A 14,738-nucleotide genomic window follows, 5' to 3' on the forward strand; every position below is an offset into this window, starting at 1 on the left:
CTGAGCAGTGTCAGTCTGTGGGCCCCACTGCCATGGAGCCTCACAGAATAAGACCCACTGGCTTGGAATTTCAGCCAGCCCCTAGCAGCAGTGTTGCACCTTCCTGGGACAGGATGGAGTTCTCGGGGAGAGGGGAAGGCCACCATCTTTGCTGTTTAGATGACTCAGCCATTCCAGCCTGGGGGTTTAGGACAGCCCAAACCAACAGGGGACAGAAGGGATCCCCCAGCATGGCACAGCTGCTCTACCAAAATGTTGCCAGACTGCCTCTTTAATTGGGATCCTGATCAGTTCCTCATTTCTGGGTGGGACTTCCCAACCAGAGCTTCTAGCCATCCCTGCTTCTATCTGACAGAATTTTTGTTTCTTCCTGGGACAGAGTTCTCAGGGGAGGGGTGGGCCACCATCTTTGCTGTTTGGGTGACTCAGTTGATCCAGCCTGTGGGCTTTGGAGAGACCAAGTCAACTGGGACAGAAGTGGTACCCCAGCATGGCACAGCTGCTCTATGAAAGTGTGGCCAGGCTGCTTCCTTAAGTGGGTCCCCATTCTCTTTCTCTTCACTGGGCAGGACTTTGAACCAGAGCCTCCAGCCACTCCTGCCAATGTTCTCTGGCCAACAGAGGTCTGAAAACTTCCTGGGACAGAGTTCCTAGAGGGAGATGCAGGCCACCATCTTTGATGTTTTGGCAACTTAGCCATTCTAACCTTCAGGCTTTGGAAAGCCCAAGCTGACTGGAGGTGGAAGTGGTACCCCAGCACAGCACAGCTGCTCTACAAAAGCATGGCTAGGCTGATTCTTTAAGTGGGGCCCTGATCCTATTCCTCCTGACTGGGTGAAACTCCCAACTGGGATCTCCAGACACCTCCTATAGCTGCATTTGGGCTGGCAACAGATCCATACCTCCTGGGACAGAGCTCCCAGAGGAAAGGGAAGGCTTCCATCTTTGCTATTTCACAGACTTCAGTGGTGATACCTCCAGGTGACAGAAAATCCGAGGTGACTAGGGACTGGAGTAGATACCCAACAAACCACACAAGCCATGCTGTTAAAAGAAAAACAGACAAAACCTCATCCAAAAGTCAGCAACCTCAAAGACTGAAGGTAGATAAGCCCACAAAGATGAGAAGGAATCAGTGAAAGAACACCAAAAACTCAAAAAGCCAGAGTACCCTCTGTCCTCCAAATGACAATATCAACCCTCCAGCAAGGGTTCAGAACCAGGCTGAAGCTGAGATGACTGAAATGGCAGAAGTAGACTTCAGAATGTGGATTAAAATGATATTCTCTGAGCTAAAAGAGCACATTCTAACTCAATGCAAGGAAGCTAAAAATCATGATAAAACATTGCAGGAGCTGACAGTCAAAATAGCCAGTATAGAGAGGAATATAACCAACCTGATACAGCTGAAAAAAACAGTACAAGAATTTCATAATTTAATCACAAGTATTAATAGCAGAATAGACCAAGCAAATGAAAGAATCTCAGAACTTGAAGACTATCTTTCTGAAATAAGACAAGCAGATAAGAATAGAGAAAAAAGAATTAAAAATTAATGAAACCTCTGGGCAATATGGGATTATGTAAAAAGACCAAATCTACAACTACGTGGTGTACCCAAAAGAGATGGAAAGAATGAAACTAATTTGGGAAACATATTTCAGGATATAATGCATGAGAACTTCCCCAACCTGGCTAGATGGGACAACATTCAAATACAGGAAATGCAGAGAAACCCAATACTACATGAGAAGATCATCCCCAAGACACAATCATCAGATTATCCAAGGTCAAAATGTAAAAACAAGCAAACAGATAAAACTGTTAAGAACAGTCAGAGAGGAAGGCCGGGTCACCTACAAAGGAAAGCCCATCAGACTAACAGTAGGACTCTCAGCAGAAACCCTACAAGCCAGAAGAGATTGGCATCCAATATTCAACATTCTTTTTCTTTTTTTTTTTTTTTTAGAGATGGAGTCTCGCTGTGTCTCCAGGCTGGAATGCAGTGGTGTGATCTCATCTCACTGCAACCTCTACCTCCCAAGTTCAAGCAATTTTCCTGCCTCAGCCTCCCAAGTAGCTGGAAATATGGGTGTGGACTACCATGCCCAGCTAATTTTTGTATTTTTAATATAGGTGGAGTTTTACCATGTTGGCCAAGATCGTCTCGACCTCTTGACCTTGTGATCTGCCCACCTCAGACTCCCAACATGCTGGGATTACAGGTGTGAGCCACTGCACCTGGCCCCTCAACATTCTTAAAGAAAAGAAATTCCAGCCCAGAATTTCATATCTCACCAAACTAAGTTTCATGAATGAAGGAGAAATAAGATTCTTTTCAGACAATCAATGCTGAGGGAATTTGTAACCACCAGATCTGCTTTAGAAGAGTTCCTGAAGGAAGCACTAAATATGGAAAGGAAAAACCATTACCAGTCACTACAAAAACACACAGAAGTACACAGACCAGTGACACTGTAAAAGAACCACATAAACAAGTCTGCAAAATAACTAGCTAGCGTCAGAATAAAAGGATCAAATCCACATAACCAATAGTAACTTTAAATATAAATGGGCTAAATGTCCCAATTAAAATACACTGTATGGCAAGCTGGATGAAGACCCATGACCTATTGGTATGCTGTCTTCAAGAGACCCATCTCACATGCAGTGACACACATAGGCTTAAAATAGAGGGATGGAGGAAAATTTACAAAGTAAATGAAAAACAGATAAAATCAGAGTTGCAAACCTAGTTTCTGACAAAACAGACTTTATACCAACAAAGACAAAAAAAAGACAAAGGGCATTACGTAATGGTAAAGGGTTTGATTCAACAAGAAGAGCTAACTATCCTAAACAGATATGCACCCAAGAGTGGAACACCCAGATTCTTAAAGCAAGTTCCTAGAAACCTTCAAAGGGACTTAGACTCCCACATAATGATAGTGGGAGACTTTAACACCCCACTGACAGTACTAGAACACATCATCAAGACAGAAAATTAACAAAGATATTTAGGACCTGAATTCAGCTCTGAATCAAATGGACCTAATAGAGATCTACAAAACTCTCCACCCAAAAAACAACAGAATATATATTTTTCTTATTGTCACATGGTGTTTACTCTAAAACTGACCACATAATATGAAGTAAAAAGCACTCCTCAGCAAATGAAAAATAACTGAAATAATAACAAATGGTCTCTCAGACCACAGTGCAATCAAATTAAAACTCAAAACTAAGAAATTCACTCAAAACCATACAATTACATGGAAATTCAATAACCTGCTCCTGTATGACTTCTGGGTAAATAATAAAATCAAAGCAGAAATCAAGAAGTTCTTTTAAACTAATGAGAACAAAGATAAAATGTACCAGAATCTCTGGGACACAGCTAAGGCAGTGCTAAGAAAGAAATTATAGCACCAGGCCACCCTGTGGAACCTAGGCCACAGCAACAGGCTCACTTGCATATAGATGTTGGCACTAGGGCTGCCCATGAATCCCAGACTGCAGCACCAGGTCTTCCTATCTATGGAGCACAGCACTAGATAAAAATATTAAATCTCACTGGTGAAAGTAAATATATAAACAATCACAGAATAACATAATACTGTAATAATGATGTGTAAATCACTTTTAACCCTAGCATAAAAGTCAAAACAGAAAAACTGAGGATAACTGTAACCACAAAAAAATTGCTGCTAAATACACAATATAAAAAGAAATAAACTCTGACATCAGTAACATAAAGTGAACAGTAAAAGTCTGGAGCTTTTATGTCATTAAAGTTGTCATTATCAGCTTAAAAATTGAATGTTATACTATGAGAGTTTCAATGCAAGCCTCATACTAACTAGAGAGAAAAAACCTGTAGTAGATACACAGAAGATAAAAAGTATGAAATCATATAATTACAAAAAGTCATCACACCACAAAGAAAATTAGAAAGAGATGAAGAGAAGAACAAAAGAACTACAAAGAGACAGAAAACTATTTTTTAAATGACAATAATAAATCCTTCTGATGAATAATTATTTTAAATGTAAATAAACTTTTCACTCAAAAGATATAAAATAGCTGATAAAAAAACAAGATCCAGCTATATGCTGTCTACAAGGGACTTACTTTACATTTAAAGATACACATAAGCTGAAAGCACAGGGATGGAAATGGTAACCAAAAGAGAGCAGGGGTGGCTATAGCTATACTTATATCATATAAAATAGACTTTAAGTCATAAACTTAAAGTTAAAAATGTGTCACTAGAGACAAGATCACTATATAATAAAAGATCAATTCAACAGGGAGATATAACAATTATAAATATATTTGCACCCATCCTCAGAGAACTTAATATATAAAGGAAATATTGACAGATATGAAGGGAAAAATAGATAACCATAAAATAATAGTAGAAGACTTAAATAACCCACTTGCAGTAACGGACATATCTTCCAGGCAGAAAATCAACAAGGAATGAGCAGACTTGACAATCAAACTAACAGACATACACAGAACATTCCAGCCAACAGTAGCAGAATATATATTTTTCTAAAGTGAACATGAAACATTTTCCAGGCTAGATCACATGCTAGGTCACAAAACAAGTCTTATAAATTTAAGAAGATTCAAATAATTCCAAATATCTATCCTGACCACAATAGAATTAAGTTAAAATCAATAAAAAAGGAAAATGGAAAAATTGATGAATACATAAAAATTAAACCATGTACTCTTGAACAATCATTGAGTCAATACAAAAATCAAAGGGGAAATTATAAAATATCTCAGGCAAACAAAAATGAAATGTAACACACTGAAACTTACAGGATGCAGCTAAAGCACTACTAAGAGGAAAGTTTACAGCTATAAATACCTGTATTTAAAAATAAGAATGATTTTAAATGAACAACCTAACACTACACCTCAAGGAACTGGAAAAAAAAATGAACAAGGCTTAAAGTTAGTAGAAGGAAAAAATAACAAAGGTTAATGCAGAGGTAAATAGAAAAACTTGATTAACTTAAGTGTTAGGGTTTTTTAAAAAGACAAACAAAGTTGACAAATCCTTAGCTAGACTAACCAAAAAAAAGAGAGAGAAGACTCAAATAAATAAAATTAGAAACAAAGAGGAGACATGAAAATTGATAACACAAAAATAAAAAAGATCATAAGGGACTACTATGAACAATTACATGGCAACAAATTGGGCAACTTATAAAAAAGGAATAAATTTTTAGAAATGCACAATCTACCTACAACGATTGAAACAAGAAAAAAATAGAAAGACCAGTAAGAAATAAGGAGATTTAATCAGTAATTGAAAACCTTGCATCATAGAAAAGCCCAGGACTAGATAGCTTCGTGGGCAAAGTCTATCAAACATTTAAAGAAGAATTAATATCAATCCTTTCTAAGCTCTTCCAAAAAATCAAAGAGGGAACATTTTCACACTCTTTTTATGAGGCCAGCATTACATGATACAAAAGCCAGAAAAAAGACACCATAAGAAAAGAAAACTACAGGCTAGTATCTCTGATGAACACAGATACAGAAATAATTAGAAAATATTAACAAAAGAAATTCAACATCACATTAAAAGAACCATAGACCATGGGGATGAGGATGGGGATCTATCCCTGAAATGCATAAATAAGCCAATATGCAAAAATCAATTAATGTGATACACCACTTTAACAGATGATGGATATAAATTATGCAGTCATCTCAGTAGACGCAGAAAAAGCACTTGAAAATTTAACACTATTTTATGATAAAAATTATCTACATATTAGGTATAGAAGGAACCTATCTGAACACAATAAAGACCATATAAGACAAGCTTACAATTGATATCATACACAATGGTGAAAAACTAAATGCTTTTTCTCAAAGATCAGGAACAAGACAAGGATTCCCACTCTTGACACTAATATTCCACATAGAACTAGCAGTCCTAGCTAGAGCAATTAAGCAAAAGTAAGAAATAGACATCCAAGTTGGAAATAAAGAAGTAAAACTGCCTCTGCTTGCAGATGACTGATCTTATATATAAAGCCCTAAGTACCCCACTGAGAAACTTTTAGAATACACGAATTCAGTAAAGTTGCAGAATACAAACCAACGTACAAAAATCAGTAGCATTTCTATACACTATCAAACAATGAACTATCAAAAAAGAAGCCAAAAAGTAATCTCATTTAGAATAGCATCAAAAATATAAAATAATTAGGCATAAATTTAACCAAGGAGGTGAAAGACTTGTACTCTGAAAACTATAAAACATTGATAAAAGAAATTGCAGAAGACAAAAATAAATGGAAAGATATCAGTGTTGATGAATTGCAAGAGTTAATATTATTAAAATGCCCATACTACCCAAAGTGATGTACAAATTCAATGCAATACCTATTAAAATTTCAAAGACTTTTTTTCACAAAAATACAAATACCATCCTAAAATCATATAAAACCACAAAAATTCCAAATAGCCAAAGCAATCTTGAGTAAAAAGAACAATGTTGAAGGCATTACACTGCCTAATTTCAAATTTTACTACAAAGCTATAGGAAGCAAAACAGTTCAGTACTGGCACAGAAATAGACATATAGACCAATGGAACAGAATATAGATTACAGCATTAAGTGTATAGGTTTATGGCTCATCGATCTTTGACAGAAGTGCCAAGAACACACAATGGAGAAAGGACAGTCTCTTTAATAAATGTTCAGAAGACTGGAAATCCACATGCAGAAGAATGAAATTGAATCCTTGTCTCACAAAATATATAAAAATTAGCTCAAAATGAATTTAACACTTACACATAAGACCTGAAACTGTTCAATTACTAGAAGAAAAGCTTTTTTGTTAATTTATTTTTAATTGACAAATAATTGTGTATATTTGTAGGGTACAGTGTGACATTTCAATCCATGTGTACATTGTAGAGAGACCCAATCAAGCTAATTAACGTATCCAATGCTTCACCAAATTCTCATTCATTATTTGGTGGTGAAGATATTAGCTTTCATTTTAGCAATTTCGATGCATACAATACATTATTAGTAACTGTGGTCACCATGCAGTGCAATAGATCACTAAAACTTATTCTTTGAATCTAACTGGAATTTGTACCCTTTGATCAACATCTCCCCTTTCCCCATGCCTGCCTTTCCCCTATCCCCAAGCCTTTGGCAACAACCATTCTACTCTCTGTTTCTATGGGATTGGCTTTTGTTAGATTCCACATACAAGTGAGATCATACAGAATTTGTCTTCCTGACCTCACTTATTTGACTTAGCATAATGTCTTCAAGTTCCATCCACGTTTTCTCTTTTACAGCTATATGGTATTCCATTTTGTATACATACCATATTTTCTTTATCCACTTATCTATTGATGAAAACTTAGATTGCTTCCATATCTTGGCAAAGATATCTCTTCAACATACCAATTTCAATTCCTTTGAATATACACCCAGAAGTGGAATTGCTGGGTCATATGGCAATTCCATTTTTAGGAAGCTCCATACTATTTTCCAAAATGATTGTATTAATTTACATTCCCACCAACAGTGTATAAGGGCTAATTTTTCTCTGCATCCTCACTAGCACTGGTTATTATTCATCTTATTGATAATGGCCATTCTAACAGATGTGAGATAATATTTGATTGTGGTTTTAATTTGCATTTTCCTGATGATTTGAAAACTTGGACTTTTTTTTCATATAGCTATTGGCCATTTACATTTCTTCCTTTTAGAAATGTCTGTTCAGATCATTTGCCTATTTTTTCACTGGGTTATTTGTTTTTTCTGCTGTTGAGTTGTTTTAGTTTTTTATGTCTTTTGGATATTTGTTCCTTATCTGAGTTATGGTTTGCAAATATCTCCTCTCAATCCCTGGGCTGTCTCTTCACTTTGTTCATTGTTTCTTTCACTGTGCAGAAACTTTTTAGTCTGATGCATTCCCATTTGTTTATTTTTGCTTTTGTTGCATGTGCTTTCAAATCCTATCGAAGAAGTCATTGCCCAGACTAAAGTAGTGGAGCTTCTTCCTTGCTTTCCTCTAGTAGCTTTATGGTTTTAGGTCTTACATTTAAATCTTTAATTCGTTTCTGTTGATTTTCTCTATGGTGTGACATAGAGTTCAATTTCATCCTCTGCATGGGGTTATCCAGTTTTTCCAACACTTTTATTGAAGAGACTGTCCATTTCCCATTGTGTGTTCTTAGCACCTTTGCTGAAAATCAACTGAGCATAAATACTTAGGTTTATTAATGGGCTTTTTATTCCATTCCATTGGTTGATGTATCTATTTTTATATCAGTACCATGTTGTTTCATTATAATCGCTTTATATTTGAAAATCAACCAGTGTGATGCTTCCAACTTTGCTCTGTTTGCTCAAGATTGCTTTGACTATTCAAGATCTTTTCTGTTTCCATACAAATGTTAGGATTTTTTTGTTTCTGTGAAAATTGATACTGGGATTTTGATAGAAATTGAATCTGTAGATTACATTAGGTAATATGAACATTTTAACAATATTAATCCTTGCAATCCATTAACATTGATATCCATTTATTTGTGTATTCTTTAATTTCTTACATCAATGTTTTATAGTTTTCAGTGTACAGATCTTTCATCTCCTTGGTTAAATTTATTTGTAACTGTTTTTATGCATTGTAAATGGGATTGTTTACTTGATTTCTTTTTCAGATACTTCATTTTTAGTGTATAGAAATGCTATTGATTGTATTTGCTAGACTTTCTGTTACAGAAAAACCCATTCAACACTGTTATTGTTACAAAAAAAATGAATTTAAGAAAACTTACACGTAGCAGATAATTTGGCATTTTTCTCCACAACATATTTAAGCTTAAGGTTAGAAAATTTTATATTATATTTTTTTCTGTTTAGATCTGAAAAGGAAATTATGGAACTGTCATATTGGTAGTCATGAATAAAGTTTGACAAGAAAAAGAAAAAAAAGAAATGCTACTGATCTTCATAAGTTGATTTTGTATTCTCCAACTTTACTGAATTCATTTAATTCTAACAAGTTTTTTGGTGGAGTCTTTATTTTTATTATTTTATTCATTTATTTTTGAAGACAGAGTCTTGCTCTGACTGTCACTCAAGCTGGAGTGCAGTGGCACAACTGTAGCTCACTGCAGCCTTGATCTCCCAGGCTCAAGCGATCTTCGCACCTCAGCCTCCCAAGTAGCTGAGACCCCAGGGGCATGCCACCATGCCCAGCTAATTTAATATTTTTGTAAAGATGAGATCTCAGCTTTGTTGCCTAGGATGGTCTCAAATTCCTGGCGTCAAGCCTCCCAAAGTGCTAGCATTATAGTTGTGAACTACCATGCCCAGCCTCTGGTGGAGTCTTTAGAGTTTCCTATATATAAGATTATCCCATCTACAAACAGAGACAGTTTCACTTTTTCCTTTCTGATATGGATGCTTTTTCTTTTTTTCTCTTGTTTTATTGTTCTGGCTAGGACTTCCAGTACTATGTTGAATAAACATAGTAGTGGAGTAAAAGTAGTGAGAGTAGATATCCTTGTTTCGTCCCTGGTCTTAAAGAAAAAGCTTTCAACTTTTCACATTTAGTATGATATTAGCTGTAGGCCTCTATTGAGGTACATTCCTTTTATATCTATTTTGTCCAGTTTTTTTTAATACTAAATGGATGTTGAATTTTGTTAAATGTTTTCTGTTATTGAAATGATCATACAGATTTAGTCCTTCATTTTGTTAACATGGTGTATTACATTTATTGATTTATGTATGTTGAACCATACTTGCATCTCTGGGATAAATCCCATCTGATCGTGATAAATGATCTTTTCAATGTGCTGTTGAATTCAGTTTGCTAGTGAAAAATGATCTTTTTAATGTGCTGTTGAATTCAGTATGCTAGTATTTTGTTGGGATTTTTGCATCTATGTTTATCAGGGATATTGGCCTGCAGTTTGCTTGTCTTGTAGGGTCATTACCTGGCTTTAGTATCAGAGCACTACTGGCTATATAAAATGAGTTTGGAAGTGCTTCTTTCTCTTAAATTTTTGAAAGAGTTTGAGAAGAATCGGTATTATTTCTTTCTCTGTACAGTAGAATTCAGCACTGAAGGCATTGCGTCTTGGGTTTTTCTTTGATTGGCTACTTTCTATTACTGATTCAATCTCTTTACTCATTATTACTCTGTTCAGATTTTCTATTTCCTCCTAAGTCTTGATAGGTAGCATGTTTCTAAGAATTCATTCATTTCTACTAGGTTTTCCAATTTACTGATGTGTAGTTGTTCATAGTAGTCTCTTATGATCCTTTGTATTTCTGTGTTAACAATTCTAATGTCTCATCCTTCATATATGATTTTGGTTATTTGAGACTTATCTCTTTTTTCCTTTGTTAGCCTAGCTAAAGTTTTGTCAATTTTGTTCATCTTTTTTCAAGAAACCAACTTTTAGTTTTGTTGATCTTTTTTATTGTTTTCTAGTTTCTATTTTGTTTATTTCTGCTCTGATCTTTGTTATTTCCTTTCTTCTGCTAAGTTTGGGCTTATTTTGTTATTTCCTAGTTCCTTAAGATGTAACATCAGGTGGTTTAAGGTCTTTGTTCTTTTTTTATGTGGGTGTTTATTGCTATAAGCTTACCTCTTAGGACTGCACTGACTACATCCTGAAAGTTTTGGTATGTTGTGTTTCCATTTTTGTTTGTCTCAAATATTCTTTAATATATCTTTTAATTTGTTTTTAGACCCATTAGTTGTTTGGAAGCATGTTGTTTAATATCCACATATTTGTGAGTTTTTCAAGATTCCTCCTGTTATTGACTTTTAGTTTCATGCCATTGTAGTCAGAAAAGATACTTGATATGATTTAAATCTTCTCAAATTTGTTAAAACTTGTTTTGTAGCTTAACATATCATCCATTCTGTAGAATATTTCATGTGAACTTGGGAAGAATGTGTATTCTGTTGCTGTTGAATGGAATTTTCTGTAAATATGTTAGGTCAATTTGGTCTAAAGTTAGTTCAAGTCCAGTGTTCCCTTGTTGATATTCTATCTAGATTATCTGTCCAGTGTTGAAAGTGGGGTATTGAAGCCTCCTACTATTATTGTATTGCACTCTTTCTCTCCACTCAGAGCTATTAGTATTTGCTTTATATACTTAGGTGTGCTGATGTTGGGTGCATATATTGTTTATTGTTATGCACCCAACATCAGAACACCTAAATATATAAAGCAAATATTAATAGATTACAATTGTTAGAACTTCCTAATTAATTGGGAAAAGCTTCTTGACATTGCTCTGGATAATAATTTTTTAGATGTGACCCCAAAAACACAGGCAACCAAAGCAAAAGCTAAAACTAAACAGCTTCTGCACAGTGAAGGAAACAAGTGACTACACAACCTACGGAATAGGAGAAAATATTTGTAAACCATATATCTGTTAAGGGATTAATATTCAAAATAGATAAGAAACTCCTACAACTCAATAGCAAGAAAGAAAATAACCCAATTTAAAAATGGGCAAACCTGAATAGATATTTCTCCAAAAAAATATACAAATGGTCAGCAGGAGTTTGAGACAATGCCAACATCATTAATCATCAGAGAAATGCAAATTAAAACCCATGACAATGATTTCACACCCATTAAAATTGCTATTATATATTTTTAAGATAACAAGTGTTGGTAAATTTTATAGAGAAAAGGGACACTTGTATACTGTGGGTGGGAATGTGAATTAGTATAGCCATTATTGAAAACAATAGGGAGGTTCCTCAAAATATTAAAAATAGAACTACCATACGATCCAGCAATCCAACTTCTGGGTATTTATTCAAAAGAATTGAAATCAGAATCTCAAAAGGATACCTGCATTCATATGTTCATTGCAGCATTATTTACAATAGTCAACACATGGAAGCAACCTAAATGTCCATCAACAGATGTATAATTAAGAAAATATGGTATATTCATAAAATGGAATGCTATTGAGCCTTATAAAAAGAAATCCTACTATTTGCTACAATAGTAGCCTGTGGGACATTATGTTAAGTAAAATAAGCCAGACAAAGAAGGACAAATATTACATGATATCACTTATATGAATAATATAGGATAGTCAGACTCAGAAGCAGACAGTGGAATGGTGGTGAAAGGGAATATGAGAAGGGGGAAAAGACTAAGTACTAGTCAAAGTGTACAAAGTATCTGTTATACAAGGTGAATAACTCTTAGAGATCTACTATACAGCATAGTGCCTATAATTAAAAATAGTGCATTATATAGTTAAACTTTTATTAAAAGGATAGATCTTATGCTAAGTGTTCTTATCACAATAATAATAGTAATAAACAAAGAGGGCAAGAGAAATATTTGGAAGTGATGGATAGGTTTAGGGCATAGACTGTGGTGATGAATTCAAGGGTGTATACCTACTTTCATACTAAGTTGTATACGTACTTACTAAGTTGTATATACTAAGTTTATACATATGTAAACAAGGGTTAAATTTTATATGTCAGTTGTACCTCAATAAATGTTTTTTTAAATAAATACAGTATCAAAATTCTATACACTCTTTTCTACATTAAGGAAGTTCTCAGGTGCAATTTAGAGCCACAATGTACCTTAGCAATTTGTTTGTAAAATAAGAGCATTGCAGCTGAGAAATGTTAAACAGCTAATCAGGTACAAAAGTCAGTATTTAAACTCAGGTGTTTCAAATTGTTTAGCACTTTCATTATTAATTGTTTCCAAGCATGTACAGCCTTTAAAAGTAAAATCTACAAATTCTGGGAAATCTTTATTACAGAAGTCTTCACTTGGCAGGAGTAGAGAAGTTGTTAATATAACTAAAATTTTGCCATTAAAATTATGAAACAGTTAAGAAATGGAATAATTATAGAGCTAGACAGAAATATTTTGAGACAATCTCTGAGTGACTAAGGCATTATGTGCTATAAATATGTAACCATAAGTGTGTGAACATATTAAGAAAATTTCATTTTACAAGAAAGAGCCAGCCACGTTAACAGTCAAAAAATACATAACAAAGAAAGAAAGCTCAACTTTTTCCAACTAATGTCATGAGTTTGAGACAGTAAGAGTATAGAGACATAGAATTTCAATAATAATTTCAGTAATATTTATCTTTTGATATAATTTTATTATCTTTTGAAATGTGGCCTTATCTCATTTAATCTGATTCTTGAAAAAATATAAATGTTATGTATAGACCTGATATGCCTATATTATTTATAATTTTAAAAGTATTTTTTATTAAGACAATGTGATGTAAAATGAATGAGTTTAATTAAGGTCAATTTAAAGAAATATTACATCATCACCATAATATAATTGTTAGGTATAGATGGCAAAATATCATGTAGATGGCATTACAATGTTTGAATATGGGAAAAAATAAAAGGAGAGGATAAGCCTCTGATATTTATTCTGCCATTCTCCCGAATTTATGGTCCCTCCTATGATTCTATAGTTTTTAAATTCTTAAACTAGAGAAGTGCAACTCATCTCCAGACCGTGGGTTTAAGATGTGTACACACACACACACACACACACACACATATCACCAAGGCCAGTGTTTTCTCAACAGATGGACTCCCACTTATTAAAGCATAAATAACGAACAACTCTAAGAAATTTATTTTTAAAATGGTACTTGCATTAGGGATATATTAAAAGCAACAACCATTATTTTTACTTTGTACTTACATTATTTCCAGCCTTTATAATAGCTCTGAAAAGTAGTGGGTTTTTTTCTAATTTTACCATTAAGAAAAATGAAGCTGATAGATTTTAAGAAATTGTCTTAAAATATCATTGAAGAAATAGAAGAAAGAAAATCGAGCTCCTATAACACTGTTACTATACTTTTAGCTTCTACTTGTGGTATAGTTTCTACCTTAAATTACATGTTTATAAAAACAATTTTTAAATTACAGTTACAAAAATAAGCACATAGACCAATGGAACAGAATAGAGACCCCCAAAATACACCTACAACAAACTCATCTTCAACAAAGTTAACAAAAATAAACAACGGGGAAAGGACAACCTATTCACTAAATAGTGCTGGAAAAACTGGCTAACCACCTGCAGAGGAATGAAACAAGACCCCTACCTCTCACCATAGACAAAAATAACTCAAGATGGAGTGAAGACTTAAAGGTAAGTCTTCAAATTACAAAAATTCTAGAAGAAAATCTAAGAAATACTCTTCTAGACATTGGCCTAGGCAAAGAATTTATGAAGAAAACCCCAAAAGCAAATGCAGCAAAATCAAATGTAGACAAATGGGACTTAATTAAACTGAAGCACTTCTGCATGGCAAAAGAAATTCTCAACAGAGCAAACAGACAACCTACAGAATGAGAGCAAATATTTGCAAACTGTGCATCTGACAAAGGAGTAATATCTAGAATCTATAAGGAACTGAAACAAATTAAACAGCCAATATGGTTTGGCTCTCTGTCCCCACTCAAATCTTATCTTGAATTGTACTCCCATAATTCCTACGTGTTGTGGGAGGGACCTGATTGTAGATAATTTGAATCATGGGAGCAATTTCCCCCATACTGTTCTCGTGGTAGTCTCACAAGATCTGATGGTTTTATCAGGGGCTTCCGCTTTTGCATCTTCCTCATTTTCTCTTGCCACCATCATGTAGGAAGTGCCTTTCACCTCCTGCCATG

This window comes from Homo sapiens, chromosome 1, assembly GCF_000001405.40.
Source record: "Homo sapiens chromosome 1, GRCh38.p14 Primary Assembly".
Classification (NCBI taxonomy): Eukaryota; Metazoa; Chordata; class Mammalia; order Primates; family Hominidae; genus Homo; species Homo sapiens.